The following is a 24,729-nucleotide window of genomic DNA, read 5'->3' as shown; positions in this document are numbered from 1 at the left end:
AATATGGGAATAACATTCAACTCACAGAAGTTTTATAAGGATTAAATGTGATAACATATGCAACATGCCAGGCACATGAAAGGCTGTACATAAAGGTTGGTTTCCTCTTCCTCCCCCTTGCTTGTCCCCTAGTGTTAGCTCTTCCATGCATGTGCATTTGGGTACAACTTTGGTCAAAATAATTTAATCTGCATGAAAAAACATCTAGTTAGATGTACTTTCTATTTCACCTGCTCATAGATACTGCCCTGAGACCCGCATCAGGTTTGGAGTTTCCTGTTTCCAAGGGTCTTTGATAATAGTTTCTTTCTCTTCATTCTGGTCCAGTTACACCATCAAGAGGCTTTCCTTTGGTCTCAAATGTCAGGGATCTATATCCAGTCAAAACTTCCACAAAGATGAAGCCATTTTTAATGTGCTATTGATCATCATTTGCTGAAATTTGATGAAACAACAGTCCTTTTTCACAAACTGATGTCAACTTTTAAAAATAAGAGTGGCGGCCAGGTGTGGTGGCTTACTTACTACGCCTGTAATCCCTGCACTTCGGGAGGCTGAGGCAGGCGGATCACCTGTGGTCAGGAGTTCGAGACCAGCCTAGCCAACATGGTGAAACCCCATCTCTATTAAAAATACAAAAATTAGTCGGGCACGGTGGTATGAGTAATCCCAGCTTACTCAGGAGGCTGATGCAGGAGGATTGCTTCAACCTGGGAGGCAGAGGTTACAGTGAGCCGAGACGGTGCCATTGCACTGCAGCCTGGGTGACATGAGCAAAACTAGGTCTCAAAATAAATAAATAAATAATAAGAGTGGCTTTAGTCACTAGTTTTTGTTATTACTAATTTGAGAGTTTTAAAAGAATTGATTTGACCATCAGGTATCTGAAGAACAGAAACTGCACGGAATCAGAACTTCTTCCAGTTGCCCATCAGTGAGTCATATGGCATACCTGCTTTTCCAGGGTTTCCAGATTTTCATTGCAATTTCCTATTGTCACTTTTTGTAATTCTATCTCTCCATATAGAGAGAGACTGCACAACCGGACTGCCATTGGATTGCCCGCTTTAATACAAAGAAATTTTTTATTAAAAATAAGTATTTATTAAAATTATTGCCTATTATTTTTAGGCAATAACTAATTTTTATTAAAAGTTATAATTTATTAAAAATTATTGCCTATTATTTTTAGGCAGATACCACTTATTATCTTGATTTTTGAATCTGGACTTCAAAAGACCAGTTGACTATTTCCTTCCTTTGATGTCTTCAAGTAAGATTTACCTTTCAACAATAAGGTACATAATGGCTTTGAAGTGGATATGATGAGAGAATGCTAGGCTGAGAGACTAGAAACAATATGAAAAATTCCTAATAGATACTGAATTATATGTTGATCTTGACTGCTTTATGAAATCTGGATAACAGCTGAAAGGCAAAGAGTTCTGTTATATTCTATTATATTTATTAGATGTTTAGTTGCCTCAATAAATGTTTGCTGGGTCATTTGGTTTATTTCCTAGGATTATCACTTAAGCCTCCCTACCTCACTGCCTTCCTGTAGTTAATACTTAAGTAGTTGCTATAGAAAAAAATCATAATTAGAGGGACAGCTGACCAAAAGGTAGATTTTTCCTCAGGACCAGCTTTGGGCAGCTCCTTCTTGGGACAACAACTAGAAACACTGAAATTAGAGATTGCTTCAATAATATGTAAAGCACAAAGTTGGAGTCACTCTTAATTTATATGATGGCTTCACCTCTACACCATGACATAATGAAAATTTCTAACATATTTATGGGCTATAAATAACTTTTAAGTGGACACATGTCAGATGCATCTTTTCCTCAATGTTACCTAAAAGTGCAAATATCCCCACTCAAAAATCATTGAAAAGTATTTTGATCATTTGGTATATAATATTGAGTAATTAGAAGCAATTATTAATATAAGACTAAAAGGAAAATTGCCAACAGTTAGAATCCAAATCTGTAAAATTATAGGCTCAATCTGAAATTTGAGGATAAATATTATAAACATGATTTTATAATAGGTGTTCAGAAAAGAAAAATTAATAACCAAATAAAAAATGTTGAGTCTCTTGTCCCAAAGAATTAATATATATTAAACAAGTGTGATGACTCTTCATGGGTATGTTACTGACACTTTTACTCTTCCTAATTCAGTAGCACAGTTATGTTTTGTAAGTTGTATCTGTTTTATAAACCATTATGAAATATTTAGGACACACAAAACATGTAAAATCAAGACAATAGTTACCAATAGCATACCATATAGTATAGTATGGTATATATAGTATATATAGTGTCAACATGGTAGAAGCCCCTTTTACGCTGTGAGTAAAAAATTCAGGAGGACTTATAGATAGAGTAGCATCATGAATACTTGAGTAAGCATGACTGATATGGCATTTCAGATATTTCTTTATAGCAATGCAAGAATGGACTAACACAATGATATATATGGGTGGAAGCAATTTGAATTCCACAAATCAAATACGGATATGCATAATTTCTCATAATAATAAGATAAAAAGTAATTTAAAAAGAGCAATTCATTTAATTTATTTAGTGCTTCAGAGTTCCCTTGACACATACAAAAATAAATATCTAAATAAAATGTCACATTCTCTTCAGGGCCATTGCCGGCAGTAGTTTTATCAAACATCTTTGTCAATGATCTAGAATTGGCTGTATTCTTGAGATATCTAGTTCCATAGGAAGTAGCGAATTACCTGCAGGAAGATGTGAGAAGTAGGACTGCTCAAATGCAAGTCAAGGCAAACAAGGGACAGGTAAAACATTAGTGGAAATTAAATGGCATAATAGGCTCTGGTTATCAGGATAGAATCTAGGAATTCCTAAAGCCTACACTCAGAAGACATTACCCAATGTGGCACTGAAATGAATCACCAAAATCTTGGATATTATCAGGGACCATATTAGAAATAGAAAATACTATTTACTCTTTCACTCTCTGAATGCCTCTATACAAGTAAGGTAGTCATGTTAAGAAAAGTAGAATGAAGCTAGAGAATGTTCCAAGATGGATAACTAAAATGACCAAAAAGGTGAAGGACTACCAACTATGAACAGACTTAACCATGCATCTCTACCTGGAAAGATGAAATCTGAAAATAGATATGATACAAGTCCATAATTTTGGCTGATTAGAACTTTTTTTTTAATTATATAACTAAAGGAGCAAATGTCAATTTAATTGAACTCCAGGAGAAAGCAAAAGCTGGAAAAATAAACCAATTAAGGAAAGATTCAGAGAAATTCACAAACAACTGATTCATATGAAACTGTTGGGAAATTTAAGATTTTGTGAGATACTACCTTAAGTTTTGAACATTAGCATCACGAAAGGGAGTTAAGTCCTTCCACAAAACCTTTCCTGATGCCCTTCAGGGACCTAACACTAGTAGGAGGTATGAGAGGTATGACTCAGCATAGTAATTCTTATGCATAGAGTAAATGTTTGGGAAAACACATACCATTTGGAGTATCCTTGCCACATGTTTGCAAGGATGGTCCATATCTGCCCACTGGGATTCTGGCAAAAGTAAAACCCATATAGGTACTATTTTCACAAAAATTAGCTGTAATAAAGAGAAAAAGTTCTTTATTATAAATTGTATTTTAAAAAAATTGAAACCAGATAAAAGTCAAAGGTCAGAACCTATGCAGTGAAATTTGAAAGGCAATAGAAGGCTTATAGAACCCACTGGCCTGTGAGGAACTTCTATACTTTGCTATCTGGTTAAGTCATTGCCGTTAGAATAACTAGTATGTTAGACAACAGGTTCCAGTTAAAATGTGCACAATATAAACCTGGGTAGAGAGGGAATGTGAGCTAGGATACTGTAACAGATTAGTTGGAATCTTCAGAACTAAAAATATAGAGCCTATAGTGGTCAACGGTACCATGAGGATGTGGGCAAAGCAAAAAGGCAAATTCATGGGATCTGTGGGATATATTGACTGGTAGGAGTATAGGAAATGATAGCAGTGGATATCTAGGGCTCTGAACCCTAAGCAGACAGCATGAAGTGTACGGTGTTGGGAAGCACACCTCAAATTTAAAAATGGCCTTGAACTTTGATTCTGAGACACAATTGATTGAAATCAAACCACTAACTTAATAACAACTCTTCAAGGTAGAGGAAGAAAAGATAAAAATTTAATATAAGTATATACTCAGGAAGATGCATATTGATTTCAGAAAAGTTAAATATATTAGAGTAGTGATATTTGAAATGGTATATTATGGCATATTACCAATTGAAAGGACCTGAGAGAATCATGTCATTCATTGCCCTGGATTAGTCATTGCAGCCAGGAAACACGACTGTGAGTTTGCAAAAAAACTTAGTAGTCAGGAAACAGATAAGGTGCATTGAATATACTGATAAATTGGCCAAGAAGAAAACTCAGCTTTTACTATTGAGCTGATAAACACATCCTAAAGCCATCATCATTATGTCCATTGTTTCTGTAACCATTAACTGAAGCTTCTAGAAGCTTTATTGCTATTCTTATTAACACAAGAGTGACGTAAACCTTACACTTTAGCATTATCCCAAGTAATTTACCAATTGTACATCTCAGTCCTTTCCACTCTTCTGTACAAATACATCTGCCATTTTCCCAGGTTCCACCATTCCTGCAGAACTCTGTAGGGGTGCTTGATGAGGAAGTAGATTTTCCTAAAGAAACAATAAATAACAGAATAGTCATGAACTGGCTGATTCATTTCTCCTTTCATGCCTGTGGCCACTTAATTTCTACACGTAAAACCACTGCTTTGAGTATCATTGCTGAGAAATATTCTTTGTAATATCATCATTAATAAAATATACACTGAGAATCTACACTAGATGTACAATGCTTACTAGATGCTATGGATACCAGAAAGATGTAGTTGAAAGACATAATACTTTGACCAAGGAGATTAGAATCCCCTGAGAAATCAGAAATTATATAGATGGTAAGTAGATAGATAGATAGATAGATAGATAGATAGATAGATAGATAGAGTCAACATGGAGGCTTATAAGTACAGTAAAAACACATAGGAGAGAGGTTGATGACAGAGGTAACCTAGCCAAGAAGACCCGGTAAGAGATAGTATGTGGACTGGATTTTAAAATTACATCTTGAAAAACCAGATGAAAATGGGTGACCCGAGTAGGCAGGATACGAACTGCAAAAATCACAAAAACATGGAAAGTTCTGATGTGTCTAAGGAACAGAGAAGAATTTAACATCAGCATTGGTTCTATGTGGAACAACATCAGGACATAGATTCAATTGGAAGGGACTTTATAAACCAAACCAAGAAGATTTAATCTTGAAGGAACCTTAGAGGGGTCATAAAACAAAGGAGTAACATAAGGAATTATTTTTAGGAGGATAAGTGAAGGAGTATGGGAAATGACTGAGGCTAAGGGGGAAGGAAAACCAGTTAAATGAGAACTAGAACTCAAGCAGTGACTCTAAGAAAGTTAGGTGTCACTAGGTTCAGGAAGCATACCTGAGAAAGAATTGTTAGGATCTAATGACTAGTTATTTTGAGTTGGGGATAGCAGAGTTTCTAAATTGTAAAACAGAGTGAAAGGTGAACAAATTAACTAAGTGGAAGAATACAGGGTTGTGTGCAGTGGCTCACACCTCTAATCCCAACACTTTGGGAGGCTGAGGTGGGCGGATCACTTGAGGTCAGGAGTTCGAGACCAGCCTGAGCAATATGGTGAAACCGCATCTCTACTAAAAATACAATTAACCTGGTGTGGTGGTGCCTGCCTGTAGTCCCAGTTACTTGGGAGGCTGAGGCACGAGAATCACTTGAACCTGGGAGGCGGAGGTTGCAGTGAGTTGAGATCACACCACTGCATCCAGCCTGGGTGACACAGTAATCTCAAAAAAAAAACAAAAAAAACAAGTGGCAGAGTTCTAGTTTCAATAATGATGGAATAGATTGTACCATATTAACCCTCTCATAGATAACAATGGTAATAATTGCACAAACGTTTTTAAAAAAAAAACTACTTGAAGGCATTGGACAGCAATGAAAAACAGGCAGAAACTGAAAGGTATTCGAAGTCTCTATAGTATTTCCACTAAGGGCACTACCCAGTCTCTATGGCAGAAGTGGCTGAAACTTGATCAGAAAGCCAGTCTTAATGGGTTAAGGTATGACAGGAAACTCTTTGGGGTTGCAAGAACAACTGGAAATTGAAGGTAGATATCCCAGAATAAAAGGAGCCATATAGAAAAGAAACTCAAAGTTTGTGTAGAAATTACTCTCAAATCCAGGGAGAAAAAAGATTTAAAAAAATAAACAGAGCTTCAAGAATCTGTGGGACAATATCAACATATTGTCTAACATATAAGCAATTGGAGTCCTAGAAGGGGAAAAGAGAAGGAATAGGGAAGATAAAATATCAGAAGAAATCATGTCAAAATTTCCCAAATTTTGTTAAGAACTTCAGCTTATAGATCCAAGAGGCTCAGAAGAATCACAAGAAAAACAAATGCAAGAAAAACCATGCATAGACACTTCACAGTCAGTCAAACTGCTGAAACTCAAAGATAAGGAGAAAATCCTGAAAGTATCCAACTGCCAGCCCAGATAGTTTTACTCGTAAATTAGAAAAGAAATAACACCAATCTCATACAAACTCTTTTAGAAAATAAAGAAATGAAGAAACTTCCCAAATCATTTCATAATGCCAGCATAACCCTTATACCAAAATCTGACAAAGACATTACAAGAAAATAAAGTTACAGGCCAATAAATCACGTTTACACAGATGCCAAAAAAATCCTTTAAAAATAGCAGGAAGTCAAATCTCTCAACATATAAAACTAATAATACATCATGACCAAGTGAGATTTATCCCAGGGATGCAAGGTTAGGTTGGCAATCAATAGAAAATCAATTAATTTAATTAATCATATGATAGAATAAAGGAGATAAACTTCACGATCATCTCAATAAATGCAGGAGACAAAAAGCATCTCACTTTTTTTAAACTCTCAGCAAACGAGAAATAAAACAGAACATCTTCAAACTGATAAAATCACCTGTGAAGAACCTACTACAAATATCATACTTAACAGTGTAATATTGAATACTGTCTCTCCTAAGACTGACAAAAACACAGTTCAATATAATTGCTATAACCACTTCGATTCAACATGGTGCTGAAGATGCTAGCAGTGCAATACGCAGGAAAAAGAAACAAAAGTGTAAAATTAAGAAGGAATTGCAGATGATATCATCAAATATATGAAATGCTAAGATATCTCCAAAAAGTTACTATAATTAATAAGTGAATTTAGCAAGACTGCATGACATAAAATAAAGACATTTTCACATATTAGCAACAAACAATTGAAATATAAAAGCATAAATCATTTTCATTTAAAATAGCATCAAAAATTATAAAATTCTTGGAAATAAATCTAACAAAATTTACTTAACAAGATCTCATTGTTCAGATAATTTTTTTTTCTTTTGACGGAGTCTTGCTCTGTTGCCTAGGCTGGAGTGCAGTGGCACAATCTCGGCTCACTGCAACCTCTGACTCCTGGGTTCAAGCGATTCTTCTACCTCAGCCTCCCGAGTAGCTGGGACTACGGGCACATGCCACCATGCCCAGCTAATTTTTGTATTTGTAGTAGAGATGGGGTTTCACCATATTAGCTAGGCTGGTCTCGAACTCCTGACCTCACGATCCGCCCACCTTGGCCTCCCAAAGTGCTGGGATTACAGGCATGAGCCACCATGCCTGACCCCGTTCAAATAAATTTTAAAAGATCTAAATAAATGGAGATATATACCTTGTATGGATGGAAGATTCAAAGTTGCTAAGGTGTCTATTCTCCCCAAATTGATACAGTCAAAATCCATAAATGAAAGTTTTTTTATAGAAATTAACAAGCGGATTTAAAATATTTATGGAAATGCAAAACACTTAGAAAGGCCAAAAAGAAGAACAACTCTATGCAAATAAACTAGAAAATCTAGAAGAAATGGATAAATTCCTGGACACATACACCCTCACAAGACTAAAACAAGAAGCCAAATCCCTGAATAGGTCAATAACGAGCTCTGAAATTGAGGCAGTAATTACTAGCCTACCAACCAAAAAAAGCCCAGGACCACACGGATTCACAGAGCTGCATTCTACCAGAGATACCAAGAGGAGCTGGTACCTTTCCTTGTGAAACTATTCCAAACAATTGAAAAAGAGGGACTCCTCCCTAGCTCATTTTATGAAGCCAGCATCATCCTGATAACAAAACCTGGCAGAGACACAAACACACAAAAGAAAACTTCAGGCTGATATCCCTGATGCACATCGATGCAAAAACCGAATCCAGCAGCACATCAAAAAGCTTATCCACCACGATCAAGTTGGCTTCATCCCTAGGATGCAATGCTGGTTCAACATATGCAAATCAATAAATGTAATCCATCACATAAACAGAACCAATGACAAAAACCACATGATCACCTCAATAGATGCAGAAAAGGACTTCAATAAAAATTCAACATCCCTTCATGTTAAAAATTGTCAATAAACTAGGTATTGATGGAACATATCTCAAAATAATAAGAGCTGTTTATGATAAAACCACAGCCAATATCGTACTGAATGGGCAAAAATGGGCAGCATTTCCTTTGAAAACTGGCACAAGGCAAGGATGCCCCCTCTCACCAACCCTATTCAACATAGTATTGGAAGTTCTGGCCAGGGCAATCAGGCAAGAGAAAGAAATAAAGGATATTCAAATAGGAAATCAAATTGTCTCTGTTTGCAAACAACATGATTCTATATTTAGAAAACCCCATCGTCTCAGCCCCAAAACTCCTTAAACTGATAAGCAATTTCAGCTAAGTCTCAGGATACAAAATCAGTGTGCAAAAATCACAAGCACAACTATACACCAACAATAGACAAGCAGGGAGCCAAATTATGAGTGAACTCCCATCACAATTTCTACAAAGAGAATAAAATACCTAGGAATACAGCTAACAAGAGATGTGAAGAACCTCTTCCAGGAGAACTACAAACCACTGCTCAAGGAAATAAGAGAGGACACAAACAAATGGATAAACATTCCATCTTCACGGATAGGAAGAATCAATATCATGAAAATGGCCATACTGCCAAGAGCAATTCATAGATTCAATTCTATTCGCATCAAACTACCATTGACATTCTTCACAGAATTAGAAAAAACTACTTTAAATTTTATATGGAACCAAAAAAGAGTCTGTATAGCCAAGACAATCCTAAGCAAAAAGAACAAAGCTGGAGGCATCATGCTACCTGACTTCAAACTATACTACAAGGCTACAATAACCAAAACAGCATGGTACTGGTGCCAAAACAGATATATAAACCAATGGAACAGAACAGAGACCTCAGAAATAACACCACACATCTACAAACATCTGATCTTCAACAACCTGGACAAAAACAAGCAATAGGGAAAGGATTCCCTATTTAATAAATAGTGCTGGGAAAGCTGGCTAGCCACATGCAGAAAACTGAAACTGGACCCCTTCCTGACTCCTTATACAAAAATTAACTCAAGATGGATTAAAGACTTTAATGTAAAACTCAAAACCATAAAAACCCTAGAAGAAAACCTAGGCAATACCATTCAGGACATAGGCATGTGCAAAGACTTCATGATGAAAACACCAAAAGCAATTGCAACAAAAGCCAAAATTGACAAATGGGATCTAATTAAACTAAAGAGCTTCTGCACAGCAAAATAAACTGTTATCAGAATGAACAGGCAACCTACAGAATGGGAGAAATTTTTTGCAATCTCTTCATTGCAAAGGTCTAATATACAGAATCTACAAGGAACTTAAATTTACAAGAAAAAAACAAACAATCCTATCAAAAAGTGGGCAGAGGATATGAACAGACACTTCTCAAAAGAAGACATTTATGCAGCCAACAAACATATGAAAACAAGCTCAACTTCACACTGATCATTACAGAAATGCAAATCAAAACCGCAAAGAGATATCATTTCACACCAGTCAGAATGGTGATTATTAAAGAGTTAAGAAACAATATATGCTGGCAAGGCTGTGGAGAAATAGGAATGCTTTTACACTGTTGGTGGGAGTGTAAATTAGTTCAACCATTCTGGAAGAAAGTGTGGCAATTCCTCAAGGATCTAGTACCAGAAATACCGTTTGACCCACTAATCCAGTTAGTGGGTATATACTCATCATTCCACTATAAAGACACATGAACCCATATGTTTATTGCAGCACTATTTACAATAGCAAAGACATGGAACCAACCCAAATGTCCATCAATGATAGACTGGATAAAGAAAATTTGGTACATATACACCATGAAATACTATGCAGCCATAAAAAGGAATGAGATACTGTCCATTGCAGGGACATGGATGAAGCTGGAAGCCATCATTCTCAGCAAACTAACACAGGAACAGAAAACCAAACACCGCATGTTCTCACTTATATGTGGAAGTTGAACAATGAGAACACATGAACACAGGAAGGGGAACAACACACACCGGGGCCTGTTGGGGAGTAGGGGCAAGGGGAGGGAGAGCATTAAGACAAATAGCTAATGCATGTGGGGCTTAAAACGTACATGATAAGTTGATAGGTGCAGCAAACCACCAGCGCACACGTATACCTATGTAACAAACCTACAAGGTCTGCACTTGTATCCTGCAACTTAAAGTAAAATAAAATTTTTTTTAAAAATTGGAAAAAAGAACAGATTTAGAAGGCTCACATTACTGAGGGTATGACTTACAATAAAGCCATAGCAATCAAGACAGGATGGAATCAGCATAAAGGTAGACAAATACATCAATGAAGTAGAACAAAAGGTTAGAAATAGATAAAACATATATGGCCCATTATCATTTTAAAGACGTACCAAGGCAATTTAATTGAGAAGGGAAAGTTTTTTCAACAAATGGTGCTAGACTAACTGAATAAAAAAATCACCCTCAAAACTCAGTCTGAGGTGGACTGTAGTCCTCAAATCAGAAAGCTAAAACTAAAATGCTTCTCAAAGAAAACATAGGAGAATACATTTGCAACTTTGGGCTAAAGATTGTTTTTTAAAGGACACAAAAGCACTAAGAATAATAGAAAAAAATTGATAATTAGCTTTAGTCAAATTAAAAACTCCTGTCATCAAAGGCACTGTTAAGATAAAAATAGGCCAGACACAGTGGCTCCTGCCTGTAATCCCAGCATTTTGGGAGACCGAGATGATGGATTATCTGACGTCAGGAGTTTGAGACCAGCCTGGCCAACCTGGTCTCAAAACCCTGTCTCTACCAAAAAAAAAAAACAAAAACAAAAATTTTCCGGGCATGGTGACGCATGCCTGTAGTCCCAGCTGAGGCAGGAGGATGGCTTGAACCTGGGAGGCAGAAGTTGCAGTGAGCCAAGATCATGCCACTGCACTCCAGCCTGGGCAACAGAGTGAGACTCCATCTCAAAAAAAAGGAAAAAAAAGAAGATAAAAATGGAAGCCACAAACTGGGAGAAAATATTTGCGGTACATATATCTGACAAAGGAATTGTATCCAAAAGTGTAAATTAGAGTTGTAAATCTAATTGTAGATTAGAATTGCAATTTGTAAATTGTGAAGAATACACATTAATAATAAGAACCCAAGCAGCCCGCTTTTTTTAAGTGGGCAAAAGACTGGAACAGACACTTAATAAAAGAAGATATATGGATGGGCAATAAACAAGTGAAAAGACTCAGCATCTTAGTCATCAGAGAAATACAAATTAAAGCCACAGTTAAATATCATTTCACATCCCACTAGAATAGACAAATAGATTAATAGAATAGAATAGAGACTCCATAAATAGACCCATGCAAATATAGTCAACTGCTCCTCAACAAAGAAGCAAGGGAAATTCAATGGAGAGAGGATAGTCTTTTCAACAAATATTGCGGAAACAACTGGACAACCATAAGCAAAAAAAAAAAAAAAAAAAAATGAATATAGAGAGAGACTTACATCTTTCACAAAAACTATCTCAAATGAATCATAGATCTAACGTAAAATGCAAAACTATAAAACTCTAGTACAGGGGTCCCCAGCCCCGGGTACCAATCCATGGCCTATTAGGAACCAGGCCACACAGCAGGAGGTGAGCCATGGGCGAGTGAGTGTTATCTCCTGAGCTTAGCCTCCTGTCAGATCAGCAGCATTAGATTATCATAAGAGCACAAACCGTAACATGAACTATGCATGCAAGAGATGTAGGTTGCACGCTCGTTATGAGAGTCTAATACCCAATGATCTGAAGTGGAATAGTTTCATCTCGAAACCACTGGTGAATGAACATTGGCTTCAACTTTAGGTCACCAGCCGTATTAGCTACTAACAAGAGAACCTGTCCTTTGAAGTTTGGAGCCAGATGTTTGTTGACTTCTCCTCTCTAGCTGTGAAAGTCCTAGATGGCATCTTCTTTCAATAGAAGCCTGTTTTATACACTGAAAATCTGTTGTTTAGTGTAGTCATCTTCATCAATTATCTTATTTATATATTCTGAAAAACTTGCGGCAGCTTCTACATCAGCACTTGCTGCTTTCCTTTGCACTTTTATGTTATGGAGATGGCTTCTTTCATTAAACTTCATAAACCAATCTCTGCTAGATTCCAACTTTTCCTTTGTAGTTTTCTCAACTCTCTCAGCCTCCATAGAATTGAAACAAGTTAGAGCCTTGTTCTGGATTAGGCTTTAGCTTAAGGGAATGTTACAACTGGTTTGATCTTCCATCCAGACCACTCAAATTTTCTCCATATCAGCAAAAAGACTCTTTTATTTTCTTACCATTTGTGTGTTCACTGGAGTAGCATTTTTAATTTCCTTGAATAACTTTTCCTTTGCAATCACAATTTGGCTAACTGTTTGGCACAACATACTAGCTTTCTGCTTTCTCAGCTTTCACATGCTTTTCTCACTAAACTTAATCATTTCTAGCTTTTGATTCCAAGTGAGAGACATGCAACTCTTCCTTTCGCTCAAATAGTTAGAGGCCATTGTAGGATTATTAATTGGCCTAATTTCAACGATGTTGTGTCTCGGGGAATAGAGAGGCCTGAGAAGAGTATGAGAGTTGAGGGATTTGCCAGTCTGTAGAGCAGTCAGAACACATACAACATTTATTGATTATGTTTGCCATCTTTACATGGACGTGGTTCACGGCACCCAAAAACAATTGCAATAGTAACATCAAAGATCATGATCACAGACCACCATAACAGAAATAATAATAATGAAAAAGTTTGACATATTGTGAGAATTACCAAAATGTGACTGACACAGAGACATGAAGCGAGCACATGTTATTGGAAAAATGGGACCAACAGACCTGCTTGACACAGAGTTGCCACAAAACTTCCAGTTGTAAAAAAAAAAAACATAATACCTATGATGTGCAATAAAACAAGGTGTGTCTGTATTGCATTTACTTTCTTCTGGATTCAATTTCTTGCTTTTTGATGTATACGATTTAATAATTCTTTCAGCCAGGGTCTGTGAGGGACAGATTCTCCAGTGTTTAGCTGAAAATGCTTTTATTTTTCTCTCACTGTGATTGTCAGTTTGATAAGGTAGGAATTCTGGGTTGACAACACCTTGAAAATATTATTTTTCTAATTGAATACCCTTTATTTCCTTCTCCTGCCTGATTGCCCTGGCCAGAACTTCCAACACTATGTTGAATAGGAGTGGTGACACAGGGCATCCCTGTCTTGTGCCAGTTTTCAAAGGGAATGCTTCCAGTTTTTGCCCATTCAGTATGATGTTAGCTGTGGGTTTGTCATAGATAACTCTTATTATTTTGAGATACGTCCCATCGATACCTAATTTATTGAGAGTTTTTAGCATGAAGGGCTGTTGAATTTTGTCAAAGGCCTTTTCTGCATCTATTGAGATAATCATATAGTTTTTGTCATTGGTTCTGTTTATATCCTGGATTACATTTATTGATTTGCGTATGTTGAACCAGCCTTGCATCCCAGGGATGAAGCCCACTTGATCATGGTGGATAAGCTTTTTGATGTGCTGCTGGATTCGGTTTGCCAGTATTCTACTGAGGATTTTTGCATCGATGTTCATCAGGGATATTGGTCTAAAATTCTCTTTTTTTGTTGTGTCTCTGCCAGGCTTTGGTAACAGGATGAGGCTGGCCTCATAAAATGAGCTAGGGAGGATTCCCTCTTTTTCTATTGATTGGAATAGTTTCAGAAGGAATGGTACCAGCTCCTCCTTATACCTCTGGTAGAATTTGGCTGTGAATCCATCTGGTCCTGGACTTTTTTTGGTTGGTAAGCTATTGATTATTGCCTCAATTTCAGAGCCTGTTATTGGTCTATTCAGAGATTCAACTTCTTCCTGGTTTAGTCTTGGGAGAGTGTACGTGTCGAGGAATTTATCCATTTCTTCTAGATTTTCTAGTTTATTTGCGTAGAGGTGTTTATAGTATTCTCTGATGGTAGTTTGTATTTCTGTGGGATCGGTGGTGATATCCCCTTTATCATTTTTTATTGCATCTATTTGATTCTTCTCTCTTTTCTTCTTTATTAGTCTTGCTAGCTGTCTTTCAATTTTGTTGATCTTTTCAAAAAACCAGCTCCTGGATTCATTGATTTTTTGAAGGGTTTTTTGTGTCTTTATTTCCTTCAGTTCTGCTCTGATCTTAGTTATTTCTCGCCTTCTGCTAGCTTTTGAATGTGTTTGCTCTTGCTTCTCTAGTTCTTTTAATTGTGATGTTAGGGTGTCAATTTTAGATCTTTCCTGCTTTCTCTTGTGGGCATTTAGTGCTATAAATTTCCCTCTACACACTGCTTTGAATGTGTCCCAGAGATTCTGGTGTGTTGTGTCTTTGTTCTTGTTGGTTTCAAAGAACATCTTTATTTCTGCCTTCATTTCATTATTTACCCAGTATTCATTCAGGAGCAGGTTGTTCAGTTTCCATGTAGTTGAGCGGTTTTGAGTGAGTTTCTTAATCCTGAGTTCTAGCTTGATTGCACTGTGGTCTGAGACACAGTTTGTTATGATTTCTGTTCTTTTACATTTGCTGAGGAGTGCTTTACTATGACATGATTGTATATCTAGAAAACCCCATAGTCTCGGCCCAAAATCTCCTTAGCTGACAGGCAACTTCACCAAAGTCTCATGATACAAAATCAATGTGCAAAAATCACAAGCATTCTTATACACCAATAGTAGACAAACAGAGAGCCAAATCATGAGTGAACTCCCATTCACAATTGCTTTAAAAAGAATAAAATACCTAGGAATCCAACTTACAAAGGACGTGAAGGACCTCTTCAAGGAGAACTACAAACCACTACTCAGTGAAATAAAAGAGGATACAAACAAATGGAAGAACATTCCATGCTCATGGGTAGGAAGAATCAATATTGTGAAAATGGCCATACTGCCCAAGGTAATTTATAGATCAATGCCATCACCATCAAGCTACCAATGACTTTCTTCATAGAATTGGAAAAAACTACTTTAAAGTTCATACGGAACCAAAAAAAGAGCCCGCATCGCCAAGTCAATCCTAAGCCAAAAGAACAAAGCTGGAGGCATCACGCTACCTGACTTCAAACTATACTACAAGGCTACAGTAACCAAAACAGCATGGTACTGGTACCAAAACAGAGATATAGAACAATGGAACAGAAAAGAGCCCTCAGAAATGATGCCTCATATCTACAACCATCTGATCTTTGACAAATCTGACAAAAACAAGAAATGGGAAAATGATTCCCTATTTAATAAATGGTGCTGGGAAAACTGGCTAGCCGAATGTAGAAAGCTGAAACTAGATCCCTTGCTTATACCTTATACAAAAATTAATTCAAGATGGATTAAATACTTAAATGTTAGACCTAAAACCATAAAAACCCTAGAAGAAAACCTAGGCAATACCATTCAGGACATAGGCATGGGCAAGGACTTCATGTCGAAAACACCAAAAGCAATGGCAGCAAAAGCCAAAATTGACAAATGGGATCTAATTAAACTAAAGAGCTTCTGCACAGCAAAAGAAACTACCATCAGAGTGAACAGGCAACCTACAGAATGGGAGAAAATTTTTGCAATCTACTCATCTGACAAAGGGCTAAAATCCAGAATCTACAATGAACTCAAACAAATTTACAAGAAAAAAACAAACAACCCCATCAAAAAGCGAGCGAAGGATATGAACAGACACTTCTCGACAGAAGACATTTATGCAGCCAATAGACACATGAAAAAATGCTCATCATCACTGGTCATCAGAGAAATGCAAATCAAAACCACAATGAGATACCATTCTCACACCAGTTACAATGGCGATCATGAAAAAGTCAGGAAACAACAGGTGCTGGAGAGGATGTGGAGAAATAGGAACACTTTTACACTGTTGGTGGAACTGTAAACTAGTTCAACCATTGTGGAAGTCAGTGTGGCGATTCCTCAGGGATCTAGAACTAGAAATACCATTTGACCCAGCCATCCCATTACTGGGTATATACCCAAAGGATTATAAATCATACTGCTATAAAGACACATGCACACATATGTTTATTGCGGCACTATTCACAATAGCAAAGACTTGGAACCAACCCAAATGTCCAACAATGATAGACATTGTGTATGTGGCACATATACACCATGGAATACTATGCAGCCATAAAAAATGATGAGTTCATGTCCTTTGTAGGGACATGGATGAAGCTGGAAACCATCATACTCAGCAAACTATCGCAAGGACAAAAAACCAAGCACCGCATGTTCTCACTCATAGGTGGGAATTGAACAATGAGAACCCATGGACACAGGAAGGGGAACATCACACACCAGGGCCTGTTGTGGGGTGGGGGGAGGGGAAGGGATAGCATTAGGAGATATACCTAATGTTAAGTGACGAGTTAATGGGTGCAGCACACCAACATGGCACATGTATGCATATGTAACTAATCTGCATGTTGTGCACATGTACCCTAAAACTTAAAGTACAATAAAAAAGAAAAAGAAAAAAAGAAAATATTATTTTCCAATTTTTATTTATTTTGGGGGACTCTTTTTTCTATAAACATCTTTTAAATTTTCTTTATCTGATGTTCTGCAATTTTACCATGATGTGGTTTGTTTTTGCTTTGCCTACTTGAAAAGTCATCCTTCAATCAAGAAAACTTTTTAGTTATTACTTCTTTAAGAGTTGCTTCTCCCATATTTTCTATTCTCTTCTGAAATGTCTCATAGACCCTGTTGGACTTTAGCCTTCTATACATCAAATTTTTTAATCTCATTATTGTTAACATCTCTTTATATTACTGTGTTGAATTACAGTTTCCTAGCTTTCTTTTCCATTCCCTAGTTTTCTCTGTAATTATTAGGGTGTGGAGGGGGGACTTTATTTGTTTGTTTTGTAGAGACAGGATCTCCCTCTGTCACCCAGGTTGGAGTGCAGAGGTGTAATCATAGCTCACTGTAGCCTCCATCTCCTGGGCTCAAGGGATCCTTCTGCCACAGTCTCCCCAGTAGCTGAGACTACAGGCAGGCGCCACTACGCCTGGTTATTTTTGAAATAATATTTTGTGTTTTGCAGAGATGAGGTCTTGCTACGTTGCCAAGGCTGCTCTCAAACTCTTGGCTTCAAGTGACACTCCAGCCTGAGCTCCCAAATGCTGGGAATACAGGCATGAATCACCATGCTCAGCACCTTAATGATTTCTAACCTCCTTTTAAATCACTCATTAATTTTTTTATCATTACTATATTTTCTATTTTAAAAGTATTATTTGGTTCTTTTTCAAATTCTCCTATTCTTTTTAAAATACTGTATTTTTCTTTTTTTATTTTTCTCCTGTATTTTAAAGGCTTAATCTTGTTAAACATATTTTATATTCTCTTTCAGATGGTTTTGTTATATCCAATTCTGGGAGGGTTAATCCTTTTGATGACATCTGATGTCTCTCCAGCATCATGGTTCGCATGTAATTTTGTATTGTAAACTCATCTTTGTCTTATTTATTATTCTTCCATGAGACTTTTATGGGTTTTGTTTGTGGAAATATTTCCACAGGAAAATTTCATGATTACTTCTTTTACGATCCTGGGGCACCATCAGTAGTAGTCTTGAACTAGTATTAGGATTATTTTTGGAGATTTCAATACTGTATAGGTAGGACAGATTTAGATTGTAAAGCCTGGGGTTTCAATTACTGGTAGTGACTTTTTTTTCCTTACTTATGGCTCTGAACAGATGATAGTGTTATTTAATGCTTCTTTGGGCTAGTAAGTAAAATTTTTCTAATCTTCTTTTCTTGGTTGATCCTACTCAAGGCTTAGGTATTTTGCTGGTGGCTCAGGTCCAGCTCCCTTGCTTCATACAGCATAGAAATCATGCCTCCTGTCCCCCTGAATGCATTGAAATTGCACCAGTGCTTGCTGCCCCTCATATGGTTGACTTTACTCTTTATTTCTGCCACTTGTGATTTTTCCTCAAGAAAGAAAGCCTGCTTGCATATTTGAATTATTCTCATATTTTATTTGTAACTTCTATGTTTGTAAACAAGAAGGAGGTCCATCCATGTCTACTCCTTCTGTCTTTTTGCTGTAAGTCAAGAGTCATTTCTTAAAGTTAAGGAGTAATTTGCCAATTTTTAGAACAAGGGTCTTGGTCCATATCTTCAAATCCTAGCACAATGCCATTGAATAGAAGGTACCCAACACACATTTGCTGACTGGCTTCTTTGCCATTTGCATCTTGGTTGAGGATATCTAGTCCAAGTTGAACTAACAATTCCTCTGTCACAATCACCTGTTTAACACCTTGTACTACACACTTCAAGACTCTAGCCTCTGAAATACCTAAATTACCCACAAAATACAGCAAAAATAGTACTGGTATCTTTAAGACTGTATTTTTACCTAAAGAAAGTCACACTCAGAAAGATTAAGTGGCTTGTTCATATCATATAACCAGTTTTAGAATTATGATCTTGAAAAAAAGTGACATTAGTTATTCATCAACCCAACCCCCTCATTCTACATAAAGGCTGAGTGATTAGTTCCAGATCAGTAATTAATTGGTAGCAGAGCAGGTGCTAGACTCAGACCTCCTTGTAACTGATCAAGTGCTTCTGCTCCTTCCTCACAGTGCCTGCCTTTACCATTGATTGCAACAGGCAGCATCAGCTTCCTTTTATTTGAGGCTCCATATTTTGGAATACATTTAGTAGCAATATTTTTCTTTTATAACATCAGTATGATAATAATAATTTTCCTATATTCTTTTAAATTGTACAAAGTAGTATTTCTAGAATTATTAGCCCTATTTTCAATGTTTTTACTACACATTTTCAATGCTTTTAATACACATCTTGGAAGTTTAAATACAGAACATATACAACACATACATGCTGCTTGAGAAAGTAGCATAAAATAATATTAAAGATTCCAAATAAAAAATATTAATTTCTTCTCCTAGACAAAATTAGAGTCTGCTTTGAAAAGTTTGATTTTAATAAGTAGGGAAATAAAAACATATTTCCTTAGTCTAAGAAATTTCATCTGCAGATCCTTTCTAGTGCCTAGCTTAGTCTTTTGGGGTTTAAAATCCAGGCATCTCTCATTTGTCCTAATTTGAAATAGTTTGGTGACAATAAAGTTAACTCTTAAATGAGAGGACAATGCTTGGGAAAGTTTATTCTGGTTGTAAAGAGAAAAACCCTGAAAGATTTATACAAATAAAATACACATAGTCTTTATTTAAGGTAAACTTTGTCCGGTATTAACTACCTGGTTAAATATTTCAATAAACTGGTTAAATAATTTTTCCTTTTTTAATTCTTATTATACTTTGGTATGCATGACTAAATATTTTAATAAACATTTTTCTTGATGGTACAGTGTAGCATAAGTATTGAAAGGCAAATACAGGAAGATGTGCCAGTTCTTAGAACTGTTTCTGTTTCAGTTTTGAGCTAGTCAATTGAACTTAATGATTAAACCTATTGTAAACTTTTGGATTGGTAATTTGAGTCTCAATCCAAAGGTCCAATCTAGGTCAATGGTATCTATTCAAGGTATAAACCAGGGAGTGGAGAAAACTATGCTCTGCACTGAATTATCTAAAAATACCTAGAGGATAGCAGCCAACAATTATTAAGTACTTACAACGTCCTAGACATCATCTTAAATTTTTAATATATTGACTCATTTAAGCCTCATGGGTTTACTACTATGCACATAATAAGCAGGAAAACTGAGACTCAAAAATGTTGAATAATTTGCTCAAAGTTAATAATTTGCTCAAAGCTAGTGAGGGGCATTATTGGGATCTAAACTCAGGTAGTTTGGCCCCAGAGTTTTCTTTCCCCTACTCTTGTACATTTTTCCCCTATACTCTCAAGTGTCCATTTTAACCACTATATTCCATGTTAGATCGTCAACGTTTGTGTCATCAAAGAACAGCAAGTATCCAGAATTTCGAGTAAAAATATCTAATACCTTGAAATCCAGGAATAATCCACTAAGCCAAGATTCTAGCCCCTTAGTTCAAGAAAGTAACTTTTAAAATGGAATCAACACTTTAAACATCACTGATTCTGATATTAAAATAATCCATGCCCCTCAGCCAATTACATAGCCAAACTGGAATAAATTTATTTTAAAAATCCCTTCCCTTTAATAGACTTTTTTTTTTTTTAATTTAGGGGGTGGTTATGTGAGGAAGCAAGAAGGAAGACTGGTTAAGGAGCAGAAGAAAGATTTACAACACCAGGATTAAGACAAAAGAACACTATAGCTGCCTAAAACCAACTTTCTCTCTCCAGAAAACTCTACTCTGGACTTTTTTTATTTTTTAAACCCCCAAATGCAAATATACTCCAGGAACAGTCACATGAGTTAGATTTATTGAGTTTGCCTCTGAAAGAAGTACTGTAAATGAGTGAAATTAAAGCCAAGTATCTATGGTCAGATTATTTTTTGACAAACAATAAACTCTCATTGACCTTTCATAACAACCTGTATTTTCCACAGTGTAAGAATTATCAGGCCAGGTGCGGTGGCTCACGCCTGTAATCCCAGCACTTTGGGAGGCCGAGGCGGGCAGATCACTTAAGGTCAGGAGTTCAAGACCAGCTTGGTCAGCATGGTGAAACCACATCTCTACTAAAAATACACAAAATAGCCAGGCGTGGTGGTGAGTGCCTGTAGTCCCAGCTACTCGGGAGGCTGAGGCAGGAGAATCGCTTGAACTCAGGAGGCAGAGGTTGCAGTGAGCCGAGATCATGCCACCACAGTCCAGCCTGGAGACAGAATGAGACTCCTTCTCAAAACAAAAATAAAACAACATCAACAAAAATTATCAATGCTATGAAGTCAGACCTTGGGGTTTGGGAATATTTCAACGTCCTGAAATCTCTTGCAGGACTGAAGAACAGGTGTATCCTGTGATAGAGAATGAAGGTTAGAATATCTGGAGATAAGCGGGGATAAAGAAAAAAACAGTCCTGGTGGCAAAGAGCAGGAAATTCTACGAACCAGAAGAGGTGTAGAATATGGTCAAGTAAGGCACTACTCATGTGTTTTGAGGTTCAGATACTCTCCCTTTGGGAGGAGTTAAAGAAAACATTTTCTACCATTATGATTGTGGACATCTGTCTATGATTATATCAGGCTTAGCACAAGTTGGAAAATGCCAATGGGAAGAAATATAATAAAGCTTAATTATGTTTTCATTTTACTTTCATCATCAAGAGTGAAGGGGCCCAAAAGCTATACTGCTTCTTGTGTTTTTCTATGAAGAATGCCCAATGTGAAAAGGCTGGAGTTCTGGCAAAACTGAGATTTTCTCTAAGTTTTTAGCATAGTACCTAGAACATAGTAAGAATTTTTAAAACTATAGGTATTATAATAATTAAATACATAAATAGCATAAATATTGTTGTACATCAGTGTTTACTGCCAAATCAGAGTAACTTCTTACTGAAATTTACTCAGAGCAGAATTTGAAATTTTTTTTTATTTTTCACAATGAGGCCATTACTTTTCCAAGAAAAATAAAAGTGAAAGAGACTTAATTTATATGTTCTTTTAATTTATATATATGTTACTCCAGCCTGGAGTGATTCTTCAAAATAAATTTTGAATGCAATAAAATTAATTTATGCAAAATTTTGTGTGTTTATATATATTTTCCCTACTAAGACATTTATAGCTTTCATCAGTTTCTCAGAGATATGTGTGACCTCTCTCCCCCTTAAAAAAATGTAAAAACAATTTATGTCTATACCTGAATAAAGGAACCCAAGCAAGAATATTCAACAATTACATAGGATGGGATGGGATAGGATAAAAAGAAGTGGAGTAGAGTGGAGTGGAGTGAAGTGAAAAGAAACAGAATTTACCAACTCAAATGCACTCTCAATAAAATGTACAAGGCAAAATAGTAACAGCAAATGGTGCCAGTCTTTCACTCTTTTTCTTTAAATGACAGTGAGAACCCTCTCCTTTTCCATCGGGTTTACCCCAAAGCTAAGAGATGACCCTTATATAAACAGCCAATTGAAATATGCTTCTCAGAACAAGAGAAAAGTTTTTCTTTTTGAGGAGCTGGTATGCCTCTATTGTTAGACATGGGATCTTTATTACTTATTATGCCTCCTTTTGGATCTTAGTACTCAGAAAGTTCGGGAATATATTTTGTATTTATTTTCAGCAACTCCCCCCAAGCCTTGAACTTTCAGGTTTTCTGTCCCCCATCCTGCACTCTTTCTCATGTTGTTTTTGTACTTTGGTCCTTGTTTTTAATGGTTTTGCTATAACTGTGTCCTTTATAAGTCATCATAAATTTCCCTTTAAAAATAGATGTCGCTTACATAAAGGAAAAAAGGAACGGGGGGAAGGAAGGGAGGAAGGAAGGAAGGAAGGAAAGAAGAAAGGAAGGAAGGAAGGAAGGAAGGAAGGAAGGAAGGAAGGAAGGAAGGAAGGAAGGAAAAACAAACAAACAAAACTTTGTGAAGTATGTCCTTTAAATGAGGTCTTATAAATTTGGCAGCCTTAATGGGGTAAAATCCATAGTTCATAATTTTTTAACCTGAATGAAACTATTTTACAACCTTAAACAAACAAAAACACATTTGCTCCAAGTTTAAATTTTACTATTTTTGTTCTGGTAAATTTTCTCATTCTAGTTCTCTAAATACTATCGATACAGTATTCTCTAAATACTGGTTAGGGCGGTGGGGTAGGGGGAGGACAAATCCATCCCCAGCTACCACTCCATCAGCAGCCAGTATGTCAGATCCCTCTGTTGGTCTTCAACACTGGATCTTTGCAGCCATGCTCCATGCTCCTGCTAGCTCCCCAACCTTCTGTCCTCCCCAGTTACCTGCTCAGAGGGCATACTGCCTCTCCTGCTGCCTTTCCCGATCGGCATTATTTACCCTTATTTATTGTTTCATTAGAAGCTTTCTCTGATTTTCACGAAAGGGAGTATGTAGCCCATCCAACATTGAATTCCTTTACGGAGAAGCTCTACAGCCCAAGGGATCCAGCATTAGGATCATTGAAATTTCGCGTTCTGAGTTCCAGCGGGCTTTTCTTTAACATCATTGTTTTACTCACTACTTCCCCTCCCACGTCCTCCTTTTCCAGGCCAGCTCTGGCACACAGCGGGGGACTAACAAATGTTCGTTGAATAATCAGGAAAGTCATTTAAAAATGGTTTTTAAATTTTTGATTAGTTTCCTACATCTGGAAAGTGGGAAATTTGTATGCAAACCATGAGATCATTTCACTTAAACCTTAGTGATGAGTTTCTTTAACTTCTCTCTTAAAATGAAATTCCATTCTGTGTATGTTTGATTGTATGTGTGTTATGCATGTGTGTGTATGTGTTTGATGCATGTGTGTGTCCTTGTTCATAACGATTTACCCTTTCCTGAATTTAGCCAAACAGACCTAAATGTGTGTTACTAATCGTTTTAATTATTACTCTTCTACCAATTCAGTCTGGAGTTAAAAGAGCATAAAGAGGCCAATTCAATTATGTCACTCTTCCCCCTGCCCACTCACACCCACACCTATTCATTTCTATTCAACCATCTGCTAGGCTTAACTGACTTGGTCTTTTATATCCCATAAATGGCACCTTGGTGGAATGCCTCAGACTGGACAAGGTACCTCCCAGTACTTGTGCACCAGGTGGCAGGGACAGAGGTCCCATACCTTCTCTTACTCTGAGTTAAACATAGCAGGACAACATTACCTCTTTGGATCCTGATCACAATCCTCCAGATGCCCAGTCCCAAAATGATGCCAGTCAGTAGTCCACACACGACAGCCACCAGCACCCTAAGGTTCCAGGCACGGCAGGAAGCCATGGTGAAGCCAAACCACAAATCCACTCCTGGGTGAGAAATAACTAGCTTCTTTTCTTCTTGAGCTAAAAAGTTTAATCGGAAACTATTCTAAAACAGAAAAACAAGTCCTCCCCTCAGTGATCTGTCAGATGGATGTCTTTGTATTTTAGGACTTTTGAGGCTAATCCAGTAGGATGCAGTTTGAATCTCCTAATAAAAGGTGCATACTCTGCTTTCAATTTCCTCATCCTTCACTCAAGGAGAACATGAAAAAAGT

General features: G+C 36.8%; 1 protein-coding gene across 2 annotated transcripts in view; it reads right to left on the bottom strand.

Annotated features, from left to right (window-relative positions):
* The window catches only part of ADGRG7 (adhesion G protein-coupled receptor G7), an 85,879-nt gene extending 61,150 nt beyond the window's left edge, over positions 1-24,729 (bottom strand). Inside the window, exons 1-4 of one of the 2 annotated variants that reach the window (NM_032787.3) lie at positions 24,359-24,729; positions 4,619-4,732; positions 3,521-3,625; positions 953-1,065 (exon numbers count right to left, since the gene is read on the bottom strand). In NM_032787.3, coding sequence (NP_116176.2) covers positions 953-1,065; positions 3,521-3,625; positions 4,619-4,732; positions 24,359-24,473 — 447 coding nt within the window. In that variant the 5' untranslated portion in view covers positions 24,474-24,729. Of the gene's footprint in view, positions 1-952; positions 1,066-3,520; positions 3,626-4,618; positions 4,733-24,358 lie in introns of those variants that run through there. The other variant, XM_047449088.1, reaches the window with a different exon arrangement.

Source organism: Homo sapiens, chromosome 3 (assembly GCF_000001405.40).
Source record: "Homo sapiens chromosome 3, GRCh38.p14 Primary Assembly".
NCBI classification, from domain to species: Eukaryota; Metazoa; Chordata; class Mammalia; order Primates; family Hominidae; genus Homo; species Homo sapiens.
The sequence above is the reverse complement of the archived record's forward strand: the minus strand, read 5'-3'. Positions and strand labels throughout refer to the sequence as shown.